The sequence below is a fragment of the Homo sapiens genome, chromosome 12 (assembly GCF_000001405.40).
Source record: "Homo sapiens chromosome 12, GRCh38.p14 Primary Assembly".
NCBI classification, from domain to species: domain Eukaryota; kingdom Metazoa; phylum Chordata; class Mammalia; order Primates; family Hominidae; genus Homo; species Homo sapiens.
In genome coordinates this window covers 9874095-9896002 of record NC_000012.12, presented here as the reverse complement: position 1 = coordinate 9896002, position 21908 = coordinate 9874095, and the positions used below count along the sequence as shown (strand labels likewise).

The 21908-nt window shown below is 37.6% G+C and overlaps 2 protein-coding genes across 5 annotated transcripts in view; one reads left to right on the top strand and one right to left on the bottom strand.

Annotated features, from left to right (window-relative positions):
* CLEC2A (C-type lectin domain family 2 member A) overlaps window positions 1–18261 on the top strand; it is a 54629-nt gene extending 36368 nt beyond the window's left edge. Inside the window, exons 5-7 of one of the 4 annotated variants that reach the window (XR_007063076.1) lie at window positions 12318–14498; window positions 15016–15632; window positions 18206–18261. Coding sequence is in view for 1 of the 4 variants with exons in the window: in XM_011520657.3 (XP_011518959.1) it covers window position 12318 (1 nt within the window). In the remaining 3 variants the exon portion in view is untranslated. Of the gene's footprint in view, window positions 1–12317 lie in introns of all 4 variants that reach the window. The other 3 variants (XR_007063074.1, XR_007063075.1, XM_011520657.3) reach the window with 3 other exon arrangements.
* KLRF2 (killer cell lectin like receptor F2) lies at window positions 170–14514 on the bottom strand. The gene is made up of 6 exons (NM_001190765.1): window positions 14338–14514; window positions 10971–11069; window positions 7223–7270; window positions 2835–2983; window positions 2462–2574; window positions 170–314 (listed from the first exon to the last, which is right to left on the bottom strand). Exons 1-6 carry the CDS (start codon window positions 14405–14407, stop codon window positions 170–172), a joined length of 624 nt encoding a protein of 207 aa, NP_001177694.1. The 5' UTR covers window positions 14408–14514.
* Window positions 18262–21908: the final 3647 nt, after the last annotated feature.

Sequence of the window (21908 nt, the reverse complement as noted above, 5' to 3'; positions counted from 1 at the left end):
TCTGTTCAGAAGTTGTCTTTATAGTCAATTCAGGATAAAATACTTTTCTCCTATTTAGATGATGTCTGTTAGCAGAAACTTTCTGTTAGAAACTTTATCTAAAAATCTTAAGTCTTTAAAATCTAGCTCTGCTTTAACATGCAAAGTATTTCTATGTTTGGTTGTACATTTACACACCACTGGTTCCATTGTGCGTCAAGATCGCATCTCTCTGGCAAATGCCCTTAAATGTGGAGCTACAGTCTTCAGAATACACCCAGTTTCCTGTGATAACGGCACAGCTCCTGTCATCAGTTGGTCCAATCACTGAAAACCTAAGAGACAAAGGACAGATTTTTCAGCATTTATCTTAAAATGATAATAGTATCTTTTAAAGTTTTCTCCAGCCAAACTTTTATAGGTAATTCTTCAGCAGCCAAAGTTTTGCAGAGGTTTTAGAATGGAATTTTCATTGCTAATGCAGCCTCTTCTCCTCTTTCCTATCTTGGTAACAACACCATGCAAGCTTGAGCTACACTAGAAGACATCCCAGCTTCTTCCTTACCTCTCAAACCTCTCATTATCTACGCCTGCAAGACCTGAGTATTCTATTTCCAGATTATCTCTTCTAACCATTCACTTCTCCCAGCTTCTCAATTTAGACTCAAGCTACCATTATCTCTCCCTTATCTCTAGCCATAGCCTTCGAACTGACCTCCATAATTTCAGTTTTGTTTCCTATCTATTAATTCTCCACATAGCAGCATAAATAATTTTTTGTAGGTAAGTAGATGCCAAAATGAACGTTTTCAATAGAAACTACATAGTGATAGGTATGCTATAATGATGTGAGTTGGGAGGCAGTCGCCCAAGATTTTGTTTAAGTCAAAGTAAAACCTATTAGATGACTCTTAAATTCCTCATATAACTTCCACAGTATAAGGTTAGGATGATGCGCAATGTATAAATGGAATGCCTTTGAAGAGAGCTATTTTGTAAACTATTCTTTCTAGTTACTAATGATTATTTAAGAAAATACAGACTGAACACTGTTATAACCACCTGCATGTGTGTTGTTTTCCTTAAATGATAAGATAAAAGCTTTTAAAAGTGATATTTTACCTTTATAGTAATGCTGGTTTCCAAAAAAGTAAAAAATAATATTAATTATAATAAAAATTAGTAATAAATCTTACTTTTTTTCAAATATTGCATTAAAAGCAGGTCCAGGAAATGGATACTACTTCATCCTTTAGTTTTATGCTCATGAAGGATGATAATAAATGTAGAATAGATGTATCCAGGAGTAGATAAATATCTGAACTGAAATGAACTATGACTCCATGGCCTTTGCTCCAGACTTACCACATCTCAAGTGTTTTGGTAGTATGACTAGTAACTGAAAGCACAGAAGAAAATGTCTAAACGTGACCCTTCAGAATTTGAAAGCACTCTTACATGCAACACCTCATGTTGTTCACATAAGAACAATGTGAAGAAAGTATCGTGGATCTTTTTATACAGATAAAGAAGCAGGTATCAGGCTGGGAGTGGTGGCTCACACCTGTAATCTCAGCAGTTTGGGAGGCTGAGGTGGGTGATAGTTTGAGCTCAGGAGTTGGAGACCAGCATGGGCAACATGGCAAAACCCCGTCTCTACAAAGCATACAAAAAATTAGCCAGGTGTGATGGCACCACACCTGTAGTCCTAGCTACTCTGAGGCTGAAGTGGGAGAGTTGCTTGAGCCCAGAAGGTCAAATCTGCAGTAAGCCACGATCATGCCACTGCACTCCAGCCTGAGCCACAGAGCAAGGCTCTGCTGAAAAAAAAAGAAAGAAAGAAAGAAAGAAACAAAGAAGGAAGGGAGGGAGAGAGAGAGAGAGAGAGAGAGAGAGAAAGAAAAGAAAGAAAAAGAAAAAGAGAGAAAGAGAAAGAAGAAGAGAGAAAGAGAAAGAAAAAAGAGAAAGAGAAAGAAAGAAAGAAAAAGAAAGAGAAGAAAAGAAAAAGAAATGGATATCAACAAGTTTAGTTGAATTTCTGAAGGGCAAAGTTTTTAAATTCATGTTTTCTGATTTCAACTCCAGACCTTTCTACACATTCCAGCTTTTATTTATAGGTGAATTTTGTCTTTGCTTTTACCACATGAGAAGTATTTGCATAAAATTATTTCAAATGAGATTTAAATCAGCTTAGAAATTTAAAAATTATTATGAATTTTGGACAATTAAACTGCCAGGTGACAAAATGAATACTTTCCATCCCATTTTTCAAAATTAGTGAATGTTAAAGAAGAGAGGAAGCAAAGAAAAAAAAGGGAGGGAGGAAGGAAAGAAAAGAGAGAGCTAAAAGGGAAAAAGTAGAAAAAAATGTAAAGATAAGGGAAAACAGAGAAAGAAGGAAAAAAGAATGGAAAGTGAAGAAGTTTAATATAAAAATAATTCTATAAACATTAGCACCCCTCCCTTACAAATAACTACTCACAATTCTGGAACTAAAAAGTGTTCATCTATCCACATCCATAGGTTCCCTTGGAATGTAACATATAGTCCAATCCAACCAAAATGTCCAGGTTTTAAACTGTTCTGTATGAACTCCTGCAGAAGAAATAGTGCATTTATTCATTCATTTGTTTAAAAAAATTTTGATGCCTTCTATAGTGTAAGTCTCTGTGCCGGCATTAATAAAATATATTTTTTCATATACATTAGCATTTTTTTCATGAACAATAGTGACTACATTGTGGCTAACACATGTTCAGAAGCAACGACAATAAACCTCCCAAGCTTCTTAGGCAGTGAACTTGCACCTAAGCCATTTTTCCTTGTGCAGTTAGATCCTGTTTTTGATTTCTCACCAGCTCATCCAAATTTTGAATCACCAGTAAATGTGCCTGTAGCTGTGTACAATCACGTTGACTCTCTTTCCACGTTTTAAAAGAAGTTGAAAACCAGTAACATTTCCCTTCGTTCAACAGCCAGTCATTTGGGCACAAGTAATTGTGTCCTAAAGGAAAACATAGGGGAAAATTAATTAAACTTTACAGCCAACAGGGAAGATAGAAATATTATCAAATGTGACTACTTGGAAAATAGATTTTTCCAACTCATTTTTTTTTTTTTGGTCAATAAAAAGGAGTTCAGACCAGGCGCGGTGGCTCACGCCTGTAATCCCAGCACTTTGGGAGGCTGAGGTGGGTGGATCACCTGAGGTCGGGAGTTCAAGACCAGCCTGACCAACATGGAGAAACCCTGTCTCTACTAAAAATACAAAATTAGCCAGGCATGGTGGCCCATGCCTGTAATCCCAGCTACTTGGGAGGCTGAGGCAGGAGAATCGCTTGAACCTGGGAGGTGGAGGTTGCGGTGAGCCGTGATCGAGCCATTACACTCCAGCCTGGGCAACAAGAGCGAAACTCTGTCTCAAAAAAAAAAAAAAAAAAAAAGCAGTTCTGTAAAATGAGAATAATTTACTAACCTGTGTATTTCCAGGAGTCGGGCAGGGTTTTGGATGATGGATTAGGGGAGAACAAAGCCTGTGAATTCTGATCCCCATAATCAGAGGAAGCAAATTATAACATTTTTGACAGTTAATTACCAACTGAAAAAGTAAAAGCTTATTATTTAATTTCCTCCACTATCTGGTTCTAATTCCTTTGACATTTCAAGATTGTCTTTACAACCTGCACTTCATGTCTGTGAGATTACTTACTATTACTGATGCATTGGGTACTTATTCTCCTGTGCTTTTCGTTCATACTGTTCCCTTAGTCTTGAATAGCCTCCTCTTCCTTCTTTACCCGCTAACTTTTTCTTTAATATACAGTTATATTTCCACCTCAAAAAGGAAGCCTTGAACCGTCAATTTCTGCTATCTGTAAGACTCAACACATAGATATCATAATTGATACATTTGCTAAAGCAAAGGACAAATGGTTTACATCCTATTCACTTGTAAAAATCTCCATATCCTCCACCTGATTGGAAGGTTTGTGAGGTGGGACTGTCATATTCATCTTTGACTCTCTTATCATTTAGTATTTTGTATATAATAAATGCTTATTGTTGAATGTTGAATGGCTGGATTAAATATTTTTAAGTTAAAACATGTCATATTTTCATTAATATTTTAGTCTGTCAACTATGACCCTAAAATTTTATTTAAAAATTACTTTTAGAAATTAAACTATATGTCCAGCTAAGATTAAAAAAGTAACCTGAGCAAGTATAATTTGAAGAAGGTTATTATGACCTAAATTTAGATTCATGAAACTTCATATATATTCTTAACTCATTAATACATGCTGTATCCGGGCAAGAGTGGCCAATGCTGAAAAATTGTAATTTAAAAAAAATTGAAAAGATTCAGGATAACTAAATTGTAATTTCAGTTGTACAAATACATAGTTGTTTGCTAAAAGGTATAAAATGACCTCTCATATACCTCCCAAGTTATGATTTGAGAGGGGATATTTATTAACTATTACTAGTGAGAATGTGCCACTTGGATGAAATAATTTTATTATGTAGATATTGACAGACTGGTCAATGAAGTACCACTGGAGTGCTGCCAGACACAATGGAAATACTCCAAATGATGAGTGTAGCATTGTAAAACACCAGAAGATGCAAGATGTGGACACTTACTGTCCAAAAGAGTTATTGTAGGTAACTCAGATTTAAGTCCCATCTTCTAAAAGAAGAAGAAATACAGGATGAAAATTGAGAAAAACATTTATTGAGCAACTCTTTATATCAACTGCTCTATTAGATGCTTTAGATAATAATAACAACATACACATATAGCCATTGTCGTGGGCCAGGCAGGTTTCTAAGCACCTTATATACACTTAGTTTCTAAAATATCTTTGTAGAGTTAAATGACACCAGGAAGATATGAAAAGGAAAATTCAGAATATGAGAAATTGTGCCCAACCATGACCTACCTTTTGACAAATAAAGGGCAAAAAAAAAAAAAATTAAAAGGAGGGGACAAGTGTCTATAAATTAAGACTCAAGAGGCATATTAACCAAATGCAATTAAAGTCTTTGATTATAATTCTAAGAAATCAAATGAAAAGAAAAAAAGACATTTTAATGCTGACTATTAGAGGATATTAAGAAGTTTTTGCTAGCTTTGTTAGGAATTGCGGTAGACAGAATTCCAAAATGACCCCATAGGTCCAGCCTCTGGTGCACATGACCTGTGTAATTTCTTCATAACTATGGGTAAGACCTGTGAATATGACGAAATATCACTTGCATGATTAGGTTATGTTAGACAGCAAGATGACGGGATTTTGAAAACAAAAGAAGAGTCCCCATCTGTTGATTTTGAGTTAATCTAAAGAAAGATTATCCCAAGTAGGTCTGGCTTAATCAGATGTAAGTCCATGAAAGAGGGTTGAGGCCTTTCCTGAAGAGAGAGATAACTCCTGTTGCCTTTAAAGAATTCAGCTTCCATGTTTCGGGAGGGTGTACAAGAGTGACACGTGGTAAATGCATGCAGAGGCCTCCCGAAGCTTAGAGGAGTCATAGCTGAAAGCCAGAAGGAAAGCAGTAACCTGTACCCTACAACCACAAATAATTGTGCCAACACCGTAAGAGAGAGCTTGGAAGAGGAACCTCAGCTCTCGAAAGATGGGTGGTCTGGCCAACATCTACACTGCATTGCCTGTGAGACCCTGAGCAGAGGACTTAATTAAACGTGCCCTGACTCCCAACTCGTGGGAACTGTGAGGTAACAAGTATATGTTGTAAAACTGCCAACTGTGTGGTAATTTGTTATATATCAATCAAAAACAAATGCAGGAGTTATAGTGAGATTGTGATTGTGTTAAGCAAAACGAGCCTTTAGCTATAAGATTCACATATTGAAGTATTTAAATATTCAATGGTATAATATCTAGTCACTACTTTAATATAATCTAGTTTGAGGGAGTGATGATGGTGGAGATACAGATGGAAAATATTGATTATGTATTGATAATTATTGGTGCTGTTTTAAAGGTACAAGAAGATTTATTATACAATTCTCTCTACTTTCATGTATATTTATGTAATAAAAATTTAAGTATATAATAAAAAATAAAATCCTATTGAGTAGGTGTCATTATCACCCCCAATTTACAGATGAAGAAATTGAGGTACATAGGGATTATTTAACTTTATATATTGATATAGCATATAAATATCAGAACTGAAACTCTAACTCTGTTAGCTTAGTTCTATAGCCTATGTTCTTATCCACTGCACTATACTGCCTCCACACTGTATTACCGTATTGGAGTTCTCCATAGCCACAACCAATGGCATTTACATATATGTATATATGTGTGTATATATGTATATATATACATATATATACACACACACACACATATATATACACATATAGAGAGAGATTTAAGGTATTGTCTCATATAATTGTGGGGGCAGGCAAGTCCAAAACGCACAGAATAGGCCAACAGGATGAAAACCCAGGAAAAATTAATATTATATCTTCAGTCTGAAGGAAGTCTGGAGGTCAAAATTCCTCTTCCTTTGGGGACCTCAGCAGTTTTTCTAAGACTTTCAATTGATTGGATAAGATCCACCCACTTTATGGAGGATAATCCATTTCACTCAAAATCTACAAATGCAAAATCCAATTTCATCTAAAAAATATCTTCCCAGTGACATCTAGACTGGTATTTGACAAACTGCCTAGGTATGGTGGCCTAGCCAAGTTGACACAGAAAATTAATCATCACAGTTTGTTTAATCTACATGAAATATTCTGTGACACAGTTATTATTATAATATCCTCATTTGAAAGTTTAAAAAACTATGTTTAATTTGCCTAAATTCATGTGAACAGTTGGCTGAAATCTCTTGATTCAAACATAGGTCTATCTCAAGCCCACACTCTTCGCACTACAGCCTGCAGCCATTACATGTCACACCTATCAGTGGATGCTCGATAAATATTTGGCAAGTTAGGTATGGCAGGAAATCCACTATCATCCTGTTGTTGACTCACTAAAACCCTATTTTTTTTCCTCCTAGAAATCACCACAATTGTCCTGCCTTTCAACCATTTGATACACAGCAATGGCACTGAGGAAGAGGATGTCCTTTTCAGCCCCATACCTTTCTCCACCAGTGCTGTTGGCTTACTGTGTAACATGGGTGAACGCCAGGAAGAGGGAAGCCAAAACTAAATTTACCCCTAAGAGTAGCACATAACAAACAAAAAGAGTATTACCTGATAGACTGCTGACGTTTACATTCTGGGAGAAATCCATTTTTTTATCTGTACTCAGTGCAAAGAAAAGATATGAGAAACATTTAAAAATCAATAGCAATCTAGGTACATGAGAATAAAGTACCAGCAGAAAATGAAGGCATACTAATAAAAATTGTGAGTTTCTCTTCTCCTATGCATCCACTCCTCTTCTTCCCCAGATTTAACTACGTTTCGCCATATCTGTTTTTACTCCTTTAAGTGCAAATCACAATTCTATTTTTTAATTTTTATTATTTTTATTTTTTTTTTGAGACAGAGTCTCACTCTGTTGCCCAGGCTGCAGTGCAGTGGCGCAATCTCGGCTCACTGCAAGCTCCGACTCCCAGGTTCTCGCCATTCTCCTACCTCAGCCTCCCGAGCATATGGGACTACAGGCGCGCACCACCATGCCCAGCTAATTTTTTGTATTTTTAGTAGAGATGGGGTTTCATGATATTAGCCAGGATGGTCTCGATCTCCTGACCTCGTGATCCGCCCGCCTCGGCTTCCGAAAGTGCTGAGATTACAGGTGTGAGCCACCATGCCCGGCCTGCAATTCTAAATATTATGTGAGATCTTAGACTTCATGTATGATGTTACATTTTTGTATATTATTTTTTTCACTGGACTTTTTAATTGACATTCTGTTTTCTTTTTTTTTTTCATTTTTATTACTATTCTTAACTTTTTTTTTTTTTTTTTTTTGACACAGGGTCTGGCTTTGTCACCTAAGCTGAAGTGCAGTGGGCCATCATGGCTCACTGCAACATCTGGCTCCTGAGCTCAAGCCATCCTCTTGCCTCAGCTTCCCAAGTAGTTGGGAGTACAGGCGCACACTTCCACACCCAGCTAATTTTTGTGTATTTTTTTATTAGGGACGGGGTTTCACCATGTTGCCCAAACTGGTCTGGAACTCCTGGGCTCAAGCGCTCCACCTGCCTTGGCCTCCCAAAGTGCTGGGATTACAGGCATGAGCTCCAACGCCTAGTCTTGATCTTATTTTCCCTTGTTGCAGACCAAAAAAAAAAAAAAAAACTCTTTTGACCATATCATCAAGTTCCTTCAGCTTCCTAGTTGCATTATTTATAGTTTGTTTTCATATAGACAGAATTAATTGCTAGCTAGGAAAACAGAACAGTTGTTAATTTGAAAAGTCTTTTAATTATATTCTTGGGCTAGCTTCATTCTATCCAAAGTTAGCCACCCACCTCCCACATTCTTTTTTGCTGTTGTTATTCCAAAACAATGAATGGAAAAAATATTTACTTGATTACTCTTGTTTCAAATCTAAGTTAAAATCAAGATTGCTCATAACTTTGAAGGCATTGCTCCAGTAGAATCTTTTTAGGTGCGTTTAAAAATCTGATGCTAATTTGCTTTGGGGGAAAACTAATTATTTATGTAAACCCTTTAGGATTATATTTTTACTCATGGTGTTCTGAAATTATCTATCTATCTATCTATCTTTATCTATCTAATCTATCATCTCTTTCTATGTATTATCTGTTTTTGTATTCTGTTCCGAACTTAGTGGGTTCTTGTAAGCTGAAAACTCATGTTTTTTGGTTTTGCTTTTACTCTTGAGAAATGGTTTATATTACTTTTTTCATTATTTTATATCTACTTTTTTTCACCTATTTTCTTCTTCTGGAAGCTTGTTAAAAGAGCTATTGACCTTTCTGGATAAATAGGCATTTTTTGATTTTCCATCTCAGATATCCTCTTATATTTATTTATGTTTTTTTTCTGACATTTTGCTCTGTGCTCCGGGATATTTGGTTAGCTACCATGACTTTTCAGAAGAAATGGCACAAGAAATAGCCAAGCTATGTAGTAGACCTACACACTACTCCCCTCTCTCACTCCAAAACCAAAACAAGTGGGTATACACCTTATTGCACCGACCACCAGTCCATAAATCAGGAGCTCTACCTGGCTCTATCTATATATCTCACTGTTTTAGAGAGTTCTTCTCTCTTTTTTTTTTTTTTTTTTTGCATGATATAGGGGCAAAATCCACTGTGTAAATAGACCGACAGATTGACAAGACACCAATCAAAAAGAGCATGGCTTAGAAAGTCTTTCACTTAATTAGTTTGCTTCATATTTTTGGCTTTCAAAAGTTATTTTTAAATTTAATTGGTAATAAGCATTGTATGTATTAAAGAATTACCTTGTTTTAGACCTCCATTTACCCTCTGACTCTCCTCTCTGAAATGGAGCCCTGCCTTAGCTTAACCATGATGAACAGCTTTCATCTACACTGCAGCTGTCTTTTATGCTTTATTTGAACTAAGGTTCTCCCCATTGATTTATCCAATAGCATTATGCTATCCACTTTTCATTTTCTTTAAAATTTTCTCCCCTTTCCATTCTATGTGCTTTGATTAATTTACTCTATTTTGTTATCTTTTCTTCTTCTATGGATAGATTATTGGGAGAGAGGAGATATAAATATTTATGGTCAATACTCCATTTTGACTGGAAGCCATGAAGAATATTTTAAACTGGTCAAAACCCAAGGACAAATTTTATAGAAACACACATATTGTAATTGTTACTAATTTATTAGAATAAAAAATATGGCTAGAAAAAAATATTTTTACTACTAGTAATTCATCAACATGTCAAATTTCATTGATTTCTTCTCAATAGCGTTTTTCTTTAAAAGAATAATTATTGCATTATTTATGTCATTTTACCATTTATATTTTATTTGAAGAGAAAACTGATTTACAAGAGAGCAGAGTGGCCTGTAAAGGTCATACTCAGTGTCTAACAAGAAATTATCTCCTGAATTTTAGGAACATTTTTAAAGCCATAGTAATTACTACAGTGGATTCAACTTCTTAGAATTACTGGTTAACAGAAAGCAATACCTACTTAGATAGATTCATAACGACTAAAAATAGTCGTTTAACATTGAATGTTAAATAAGTGGACATTTTCAGGTAATTAGTAATTGATTTCAATGTTGCATTGAACAATTTTGAGGTATATGATTGATATTTAGAGAAAAAATACATTAAGTAGGATATATCTTTGGTCTGAGAAAAGTCTGATATTTTCCCTTGTTGTATTGGGAAAAACACAAAATTGCCCAATTGCCCAATACAAATATGGATCCTTTATTAAGAAGTAAAGGATCTTCTACGCTACAGAAGTTGCTTTAGGACTCACCTATTTTTAGAAATCTCATCTCAAAAGCCCCCAAAATCTATTTCCTGTCATGTTATATGTAAAACACTACTCATTTGAGCTCACAGCCTTAAAAGCAAGACAGAAAAATCAAAGATAATGAATTTCTTTGGTTGTTCAAATAGAATAGCTACAGTATACACATATAAGTACCACTTCAGGAAGAAAAAAGTCTGGAAGTCTACCTAAAATGGTTTTCAGATGGGTCTTAATATATATATATATATACTTAAATAATGATCTCACAAAGTGATACCAATGAGCACATACTCTTTTAGTAAAGATACATTACTTTTTTAATTATAAGATAATAAAGTCAACCTCTATTGGGGGTTCTTTATAAGAAAAGATGCAGAATAAATACCAAGCTTGCATTTGAGCATTTAATTTTTTAAATTTAATATAATTTTATAATATGACATATGCCAGTTTTGGACTACAGTGTAGAGTTTATCTTGGCATTAAGAGGAATGAAGGATCAACATTTATCTTCTGAAAATGTTCAAATAAATAAAAATTTACTACTCACGCCAGAACTTCAGGTCAATCCCTGTCATAATGAATATAAGGATCACAATGCATCCAAATATGAGCAGAAGACAATAATATTGTGGATATAGGGAGAAATCTGAAATGTTGAATTTTAGAATTCTTGTGATTATTCACTTTATAAATATTTTTCTGTTTCATTTTTATTACAGAGACAACTCATGTTCATTTTAGATATGTCATTAGAATTTATGATTAAATGAAAATCTAAAAATAAAAAGTCTAGAATCCCAAACCAAGGAGATACTACTATTATTAAACGTTTTGGATTGTACTGACATAGACTTGTTAATTATTTGGTGGTGTTTTTGAGGACCTAAAAATGATGTCTTAAATTCCATATAAATTATACATACAAATACATATTATATATGATATAAATATTTGTTATAACATATTATATAAAATATAAATATATACAATGTAAACATATATATTATTCTATACATGTAAATTATATAGAAAGAATAATATATAAAATGTATATATCTATGTCAGGCACAATTACGTGTGTTATTCAATTTAGTGACTCACTGCTAAGAAATAAAAGAGGGAAAGAAATATTTATTAAAATTCTATTATATACCAGTCACTGTACTGGAAATATCCACATTTTATTTCACCTTACACCTGTAATATATTATATTTTTCTGGGTTTGACTCTTTAGACAGGAGTCAGTTTCAGCTTAGGTAGTATTAGATCTCCAATTAATGATGCTTATATGACATCTATGCTATAGTATTTCATCGCATTAGAGTTGGCAAGAATAGCTTCCTTATAAAGGAATAAACAAGTAATCTCTAGAGAGGTTAAACAGGGGCATGTATAATAATCCTCTTTCAATTTTATCTACTTTTTTCCACATATTAGCACTTTTGAATAAATTGGATGTATACACTTTTTTCACAAAACTATGACAGGTTCCTTTTATATGCAGACATCATATAATTAATATCTCAATCTACAATCATTTTAGTCAGTTTGCCAGGCTAGTGGCCAAAGAGAAAGCAAAGTAATTTGAGATACTCTGATAATTATTCCCTATTTTTTATTCTTTTATCTATAAACAAACATTTAATTTCATCACCTTGGTTGTACATTTCACAAATAATTTGTCTTCTAAGTCATAATAAAAGTGCTGTTTCTCAAATCTAATTTCTGTGTGGATGCTTTACTTCAATAGGTTTTATGGATTTACTGCATTTGATTAGATCTATAGTATATACTTAGAGAATTTACTGTATGTAGTGTACCTTTTGAAATTTGCTACTCAATTGTCTGTATTACTAAGTCCAAAATAATTTTCTTTCTTTTTCTTCCCTGTAGATATTTCTGCTGTTCAAGCAAATATGGAAAGACTTCTACTTAATTGAAAATCGTCAAAATACATTTCTGCAATTTTATGAGAAAATATCAATCAAGGGTATATGGATCTGTAGTTAACAAGTGCTCTTTCCATACATGCCAGGGAGGGAGACTTTAAACTTCTTGCCAAATAAGATTTATAAAAAACTGAACAATAGACCAAAAATTAATATTTTCATGTAAGCCATGATTTACATACTATATCAAGCCAGGTGAACAGAGAGCTGAGTACATGAAGTGCAGTATGCTGGCCTATCCTAGCACTGCTTGGCTAGATGCCATTGGCTTACACAGGGCTATATGAAGAAATTGTCTTACAAAATCTGCTGGTGCTACTATTGCAAGAACACTAATTGTATTATTTTATGTGCTTCATGAGAACTCAGGAAAATATTTTTTCTGATTTAGGATCAAGATTAATTATATCAATCTTAAGGAATAGGTGTAACTTTATCTTATACACAATGTGAACTGAACAACTGGTAAGAATTCCCTTAGGTCAGTAATAACAAGGAAGCTTGGAAGCAAATGTATAGCAAGCACAAACATGCCTACAGTAATTTTTCTGGCCCAATTTATTTTCCCAGCCCTATCCTTCCTTCATTCATAATTTAAATGGATATTATCTTATATTTTATGTATCAATACTCAGATTTTAAGTCTCTGTACACATTTGTATATTAAAAAGTAGTTTATAGATTAAAAAATAGTAAATTTAGTTTAACATCCACATAAAAGCATCATCAGGTAGATTTTTCTTATTATATATCAAAGTATTGAGATTTAAGAAGGCTAAAAGCTTCTGCCCAGAGCCATACATTTAGTCTGTGGGCTTTAGGGTCTGAATAATTTTTTTTGTTTTTTTATATATGGAGTCTTGCTCTGTCACTCAGGCTGGAGTGCAGTGGCATGATCTCAGCTGACTGCAACCTCCGTCTCCCGGGTTCAAGCGATTCTCCTGCCTCAGCCTCCCAAGTAGTTGGGATTACAGGCACACGCCACCATACCCAGCTAATTTTTTTTGTATTTTTAGTAGAGACGGGGTTTCACCATGTTGGCCAGGCTGGTCTCGAATTCCTGACCTCAGGTGACCCGCCCACCTCTGCATCCCAAAGTGCTGGGATTACAGGCATGAGCCACCGTGCCTGGTCTGCCTCAGTCAATTTAACACCAATGGTACTAGTTTTTGCTGCATGGAAGTAAGTTACTATTGAAAAAGTAAACATTTGTTTCATGATATTGAAACACAAAAAAGATCTGAGTCTTCAGATAATAACAAAAGTGTCATTTTGTGGGGGCAGGGGGTGCAGGGGAAGTTTGCATTTGCTAGATATAAAATGAGATTGTACACGAGAATGTTCAATACATATGGCAGAACTGCCACTGCGACTGGTAATTCTGAATTTCTGGCCTATGTCATCTTAACTTAGGTCTTGGCTATTTCAACAAGATTGTTTTCAAAATTCCTGAAAAAGCAAACAAAGCCAACCACAGAGCAGCCCTAAGGAGCAAAGATTAATGTTTTTTTGTTTTTTTTTCTCTCTTCTCGCATTCCCAGTAGATTGTTCTACCAATCCTATAGGGCTTTTACGAAGATTAAAAATATTATATATGTATAAGCATAAATATATATATAAGCATATATATACGCTTTAAGTTTATATAAACTTTAAGTTTTGTAGGAGGAAGTTTCTGTAAAAACACAATTTTTCAGCCTTTTCTTCGAAAGTGATGTTCTTATGCTACAACACACAGGATTACACATCGTCATATTCGCATTTCTCTTACCTCATGGCTCTGAAAATGCAGACTTTTTATTGTTGATGCTTTCATGAATCTAAATAATCTAACAGACAATTTATGACCATTTTTATATTCCTTATTATGATCAATGTTAAGATGTTAAAAATATTCTAAGATAATTCTCTTCCTAGAAGAATAATGAAATTTTAAATGCGGTGATGGGGAGCAGTATTCCTACCTTTAGATTTCTGCTTCGATTTACAACGATTCTTGAAACTCAGCGTCATATACCCATCTTCATTCTCCATCTCTTCAAATGTCTAATGTCTTATTATCCAGAAAATAGTACAAAGAAAATGGAAACTAATCTCAACCTTGGATATGTCTCTTTGGCACAAGGTACTAAAAGAAAACTAAAAGGAAGGCCAAAAATAGTCAAAATTTACTCAGACACAGATGTCTAAAACCACACAGGATGTGTTGGTAAATGAAAATGGATATAAGCTTGTTAATATCTGGCTACAATTCTGTGAATTTCAAGGTAAAGGTAGCTAGTGTGTTCCACTGTTTTCAACAAATGGACTTGTGTGTTCCTGCCACTTGTGTGCGGTGTATTAGAAACATAATTCCTTCCTTCATGTCTTTTATAATAAAGTAAGAGAAAAAATAAAATAAAACAAATAATCTCTAAACAAACAGAACAAATGTCTAGGTAAATAAAAATTCAAATTAAAAAAGTTAAAATAGCAATTTTGTTATTTGGGACATATTTGACTAGTAGAGTCCAAATAACGATGGTTAGATGGGACAAAAATAGGAAAATAAAAGATCAGCAAGTCTCAAGTTAGTGAAAATCGGAATCACTTGCAAAGAATTTAACTTTTTAAACTTTTTTGTTTGTTTGTTTGTTTTTCAGAAAACGCCAGGCAGATTTTCCTTCAGTAGGTGTGGCAGTTTATTTTGTGTCAACTTGGCTGAGTCACAGAGAGTCCAGATAGTTGATCAGACATCATTCTGCTTATTTCTGTGAGGGTGTTTTTGGATGGGATTCATATTTAAATAGGTGACCTTTGAGTAAGGCAGATTTGCCTCCTCTGTAATGTGACTGGGCCTTATTGAGTCAGTTGGAGCCTTGAATAGAACAAAAAGACTTGTCTTCCCTGAGTGAGAGAGAATTCTCCAGCAATGGCCTTCAGACTATCTGCAGCATTAGCTCCTCCTGATTCTACAGACGGTGGACTTTGCATTTGAATTGAGCCTTCCTAGGTACCCAGTCTGTCCATGCTCATTTGCAGAATTTTGACTTACCAGCCTCCATAATCACATTCCTTATTTTATATATATTTCACTTAACACGCACACACACACACACACACACACACATGCTAATGGTTCTGTTTCTGCTACGTGGCCACTCAATATCAATCCATTGATTTAACACCGAGTGTCTGGGGAAGGTGGCTGACTGTTTCCCACAGCACATGTTGTGTTCACCTGATTATTGAGTCTCCTCCTCAACACTGGATGTCACTTGTGAGTATTTACATGGGAATGAATATTTACACACGCCGCGTCCATTCTGCATGATCTCTATATGTACCTCTTAGCTTCTCATTCATTTTTCTATTTTGTTCTTTTTGAGTTTCCGACAAGTCATCTCACCTATTAGTTTCTGATAAGATGATTTAGATGTATTTCTCTGAGTGCTTATCCTTCCTGTTAGGTTCACAACCAGACATATTGTCCAAACTTCTGTTCAGTGGGAAGACTTACCTTCACTTCTGTCTTTCACAGTCTTCTCCTGAATGGGACTGTAGTGTGGCATCTATTCCAGCTGCCGTATTTTACATAACCACTGATAAACTTATTTTTTTCAACTACTTCAGTGTAAGATCGTACAGAACCCTCTTTTCCATCCCCAACCCGGGTCATAGGTATGGTTGAGGTGGAGATAGCAAAGGAATGCGAACATGTGCCATCGGAGTCTGAGCCATCTGCTCATGCAGTTTACTGTGCTTCTTTGGAACTGTTCAGGCCTTGCCTCCAAAATGGCACAATTATGTTTGTGATAAAATGCTTCTGTGCACTTCTAAACATAGGGTTCATTGGGTCAAAGTGGTCAAGTTGGATCAAGTTAATGGTGGTGAACATATGTCTTATAAAAATATGTAGTAGGTTTACTGCCTACTTTTCACCAGGAACAGTTGGCATGATAGCATCAATGTAATGAATCTATTGTGTGCAACCAGTTCTGAGGTATAACATATTGGGAGCTATATCAAGATGATTTAGTTCCCTCTGGGCCATCTTATAACAGAGATCAGGAGAGCTGACATACACCTGGGCAAGGCAGCAAAGAAATACTTGTTATTTCTGTTTGTAAATACAAGCCGGAAACCATCACAGGTTCTCAGCTTTTTCCCAGTGTATAGTCATTCAAGAAAATGACTGAAGTTTCCTCCGGTTTAGGTGTTGGGGAATAAATATCATAATTACACCTGTGGCCATGTTACAATGTCCTTCACCAAGAGACCAAACCTACCTCCTCCCCAGTTGAGTGGTTCCTGGTCTGCGAAGAGCTTTGCCTACTAACTATATGGAAGTCTGGGGATTGGGTAAGACACAATGAATCTCCTCTCTGAAAATACGGGCTAAGTTTCTGGGCAACATACATGTAATTTTCCTTAGCATATCAAGCAGCTCCTTAGTGAAATATCCTTTTTTGTTTGTTTTTCTTTTCTTTTCTTTTTTTTTCATTTCCCAAAACTTAAAATCAGCTAATCATTGTCACAGATTTCTGTGGATGAAAACTCTGATTACTAATCATTCCCTCTGGCTTATTGTGGCAACTGCAACCCCTTGACCTCTAGAATCAAATTATTGCCGTTGATATCAGAAAGCCTGATTCCGCTGTAGCATCTCCCAATACATCTATAGTCAACAGTGAACAGTTGCCACAGCAGGTCGTCACCAGGTTCCCTCACAAAAGCATTCTCCATCCCCCCATCCTCCTAAAAAATCGGTTCACAAAACTGACCTTGAAGAGAGGAAATCAAAGCCTGGAGGAGGCTGTAGAAAGGAGAGAGAAGGTGGTCAATGACTGCCTAGCCTCCTCACTGTATAAAAGGTAGCAACTTTAAAACTGTTCCCCCACCCTCCATCCTGGGCGCCAGACCCCTCAGTTCTACCCAAGGGCCATCAAGTACCTTCAGAAACTTCTCTTCCCTTTACCTTCTATGCCTGGGCCAATTCTCTCAGTATGGGTCTAACAGATTTGGTGGGATTGAATGCTGAAATATTTTAGAGTATCAAAACTTGAAGATGTCTAAAATTTGTATCTTAATGTTTTTCCCAAACTATAGATTTATTCAGTGTTCTCTATATAGTTAGTAATTAAGTTCTGTCAGTTTAACCCCCTGCGTATTTCCCTAGTAAATTCATTACTTCCCATTTTAAAAGCCATCATCTTGGCTCAAACTCCGTGTGGGCTGACATTATTCCTTCATGGCATTTAGTCTCCTTTTGCCCTCTCCCCTTGGCCCATATAAAACAAAAGAGTATCTTTAAGGGTTGAGATACTCAATAAATCTGATGCCCCACAAATCCAAAATAGACATAGAAAATGTGCATCTTTTACAAAATTCATATCCTCATGTATGAATTAGTTAATAAAAGGAAGTCTCCATTCTCTCCAGAAACGTTACAACTTCTACGCTTCTGAAATTTAGAATTTCCCACACCCATACCAGATTATCATTTTAATCTTAAATGGGCATTTTTTTTTTCAGACAGGGTCTTGTTCTGTTACCCAGGCTGGATGTAGAGGTGTCATCATAACTCACTGTACCCTCAAACTCCTGAGCTCAAGTGATTATAGACACATTTTTAATCTGATAGGCTGCTGCATTGTTTCACTTTAGATTTCTTGGATTTTCATTGTGTTTAGACAACTTTGGATACACTGACTGTATATGCATTGTTATGGGTTAACTATTTGTGCCTTGTTCATTTTCTGTTACTAATGTATTTATGACTATTCCTCTGTATATATTCATTCGTATATTGATTCATTCAATAAGACTTTTTGAATATATGTTATGCTACAGCCACAGTTCTAACCACTGAGAATACATCAACAAGTAAAACAGATAAACCCCTCTGATTTCATGACTTCGTGGAGCTTTCACTCCAGTGGCAGAGACAGAGACACATGTTACCCATTGCCCAGGAGTTCATATATGTTTTAAATGTGAGTTATTTTTATTGTCTTATGAAGCTCAGTTAGTGGTGCTGTCGTGTAACCATCGTCCAATTAGAGCTTTCATCTACATCCAAAACAGACCTTTCTGAGAACCAACTAAACTTTATTCCTTGTTTATCAGCAGGTAATAGGAAATATCTTAAACAGCCATAGACATGAGCCGAGGGAGAGGTGCCAGTGAAACAGTTGGATAGTATCATTAGTATCATTTCTGAAGCTTGCCTGTGCTCTCTGGTTGGCATAGGGGTCTTCAGCTTGCCTTTTCACTGAGAATCTGCCTGTGCTGATTCTGGATATACCAATCTCATCATATAATGAATTGCTGCTGGGAGTGCCTGAACTTATATTTGGTGAGTCTTACAGGTTTCTCTTTCCTTTTTTTCTTGAGAGGGAGTCTCGCTCTGTCACCCAGGCTGGAGTGCCATGGTGGAATCCTGGCTCACTCAACCTCTGCCTCCCAGGTTCAAGTGATTCTCCTGCCTTAGCTTCCTGAGTAGCTGGGATTACATGCACCCACTACCACGCCAGGCTATTTTTTGTATTTTTAGTAGAGACGGGGTTTCACCATGTTGGCCAGGCTGGCCTTGAACTCCTGACCTCAAGTGATCCACGCGCCTTGGCCTCCCAAAGTGCTGGAATTACAGGCATGAGCCACTGCGCCTGGGTGGGTTTCATTTTATTAATGGCAGTTCAGAACATACGGATGCCTGCTGACTCACATCCAAGTAATCTATTTCTGCAAGGTCCAGTAGCATGCCAGGAGCTATTTCACAAAAGCTCTATAAATGCTTAGCTATAATTGACCTGGTATTGCTCTAGGACTCAAAGGATCAGTAGAAATTATGTTTCACCCGTTAGGACTTGGCCATAAATTCCACAAAATTTTTTCTCACCGTTGATACCTCTGGTATTACACAGTGCGGTAAGTTACATGGCTCCAGTGGTAGAGATGCTTCTGCTGCAGCCAGATTTGCGGAGGAGTCCATGTTTACTCTCTGGGCCACGATGGGAGCCTTGCAGCCTTTTGTGTCCCCTAATGAGAGGTGACAGCGTGCTGGCAGTCCTCACAGCCCTCGTTCGCTCTGGGCACCTCCTCTGCCTGGGCTCCCACTTTGGCGGCACTTGAGGAGCCCTTCAGCCCACCACTGCACTGTGAGAGCCCCTTTCTGGGCTGGCCAAGGCCGGAGCCGGCTCCCTCAGCTTGCGGGGAGGTGTGGAGGGAGCGGCGCGGGTGGGAACCGGGGCTGCGCGCAGTGCTTGCGGGCCAGCGCGAGTTCCCTGTGGGTGTGGGCTTGGCAGGCCCCGCACTCGGAGCAGCCGGCCGGCCCTGCCGGCCCCTGGCAATGAGGGGCTTAGCACCCGGGCTAGCGGCTGCAGAGGGTGTGCTGGGTCCCTGGGTCCCCCAGCAGTGCCGGCCCACCCCCTGCTCCACGGCACCCAGTCCCATCGACCACCCAAGGGCTGAGGAGTGCAGGCGCAGGGCGCGGGACTGGCAGGCAGCTCCACCTGCAGCCCAGGTGCGGGATCCACTGGGTGAAGCCAGCTGGGCTCCTGAGTCTGGTGGGGACAAGGAGAACCTTTATGTCTAGCTTAGGGATTGTAAATACACCAATCGGCACTCTGTATCTAGCTCAAGGTTTGTGAACACACCAATCAGCACCCTGTGTCTAGCTCAGGGTTTGTGAATGCACCAATCGACACTCTGTATCTGGCTACTCTGGTGGGGCCTTGGAGAACCTTTGTGTGGACACTGTGTATCTAGCTAATCTGGTGGGGATGTGGAGAACCTTTGTGTCTAGCTCAGGGATTGTAAACGCACCAATCAGCGCCCTGTCAAAACAGACCACTGGGCTCTACCAATCAGCAGGATGTGGGTGGGGCCAGATAGAGAATAAAAGCAGGCTGCCCTGGCCGGGAGTGGCAACTGGCTGGGGTCCCCTTCCACACTGTGGAAGCTTTGTTCTTTGCTCTTTGCAGTAAATCTTGCTACTGCTCACTCTTTGGGTCCACACTGCCTTTATGAGCTGTAACACTCACAGCGAAGATCTGTAGCTTCACTCCTGAAGCCAGCGAGACCAGGAGCCCACCGAGAGGAAGGAACAACTCCAGACGCGCAGCCTTAAGAGCTGTAACACTCACCGCGAAGGTCTGCAGCTTCACTCCTGAGCCAGCGAGACCACGAACCCACCAGAAAGAAGAAATTCTGAACACATCCGAACATCGGAAGGAACAAACTCCGGACACGCCGCCTTTAAGAACTGTTAACACTCACCACGAGGGTCCGCCGCTTCATTCTTGAAGTCAGTGAGACCAAGAACCCACCAATTCCAGACACACCAATATGTATGTTAGAACTCTATTTCCAAGTACGAACAATGGCCCTTCAGTATCCAATGAAGACTACCAGACATTGTGTCCTCTATTTTTTTAAAGAGATGCCCTGGCGTGCACCAAACCCATGTAAACATAAAAATTTCACTGATGCACTTTGGGAGGCCGAGGCGGGTGGATCACGAGGTCAGGAGATTGAGACCATCCTGGCTAACATGGCGAAACCCCGTCTCTACTAAAAATATAAAAAAATTGGCGGGTGCCTGTAGTCCCAGTTACTCTGGAGGCTGAGGCAGGAGAATGGCATGAACCCGAGAGGCGGAGTTTGCAGTGAGCCGAGACTGCGCCATTGCACTCCAGCCTGGGCGACAGAATGAGACTCTGTCCAAAAAAAAAAAATTCACTGATGTGATGCAGTGGCCATTCAATCTTTGCTGTATTCACAACTCACTGAAGTGTATGCATCTTACCAATGTCTCCAATGTACTTGCTCCTTCTTTCTCATCTAGTTCAATTTGTATACTGTCATTAGCACAGTGAACAAGAGTTAAATTTTGTAGGCTGTCCAAGCAGTCCAGGTCTCTTCACTATATTATGATAGACAGTGGGACAGTTAACAGACCTGGGGCAAGAATGTAAGTGTCTACTCATGTCAGCCCTAAATAACTACCAAATATTTTTGGTACTCATTTGTTAAAAGAGATAAAAAAATAATTCTTTTGCCAAATTAATGGCCATATTTTCTGTACCTGAGCATAGGGTAATTTGCTTTAACAAGTATTCTGTATTTAAATCAGCAGCTACACTTGGAATTATTGTTTGATTGAGCTTGCAATAATCAATTGTCATCATCCAGAATCCATATAGTTTTGTCAGAGCTGCACTGGTGAATAAAATAGAGGTAAATGGATACCAGCATCCTTGTGTCTTTGAGGTATTTATGGGTGGCAATAACCTTTGTCATTCGCTCTATAATGCAGAATTATTTTGGGTTGACTATCATGTCCAGTGGAGAGGAGGGGAGCAGTTTCAGGAGCCTTGGTCTTTCTCACCGCAGTACATACCAAGCTGGCCAAGGAACCAATGTGAACTTTGTACCAATTCTTAAGTATGTGGTGTCCCATTATGTATTCAAAGACCAAAGAATGTCTACTGGGTGAGTCCTTGGGCCTACTGTGAACCAGACATAAGCAAATACTCTATTACTGGGACTCCAT

Coding starts and splice junctions, on each gene's coding strand:
- KLRF2 (NM_001190765.1), bottom strand. CDS start 14,407: ATGGAGAATGAAGATGGGTATATGACGCTGAGTTTCAAGAATCGTTGT. Junction 11,070..14,337: donor ATCGAAGCAGAAATCTAAAG/GTAGGAATACTG, acceptor TCAACATTTCAG/ATTTCTCCCTATATCCACAA. Junction 2,984..7,222: donor AAACGTCAGCAGTCTATCAG/GTAATACTCTTT, acceptor GTTTTCCTTTAG/GACACAATTACTTGTGCCCA.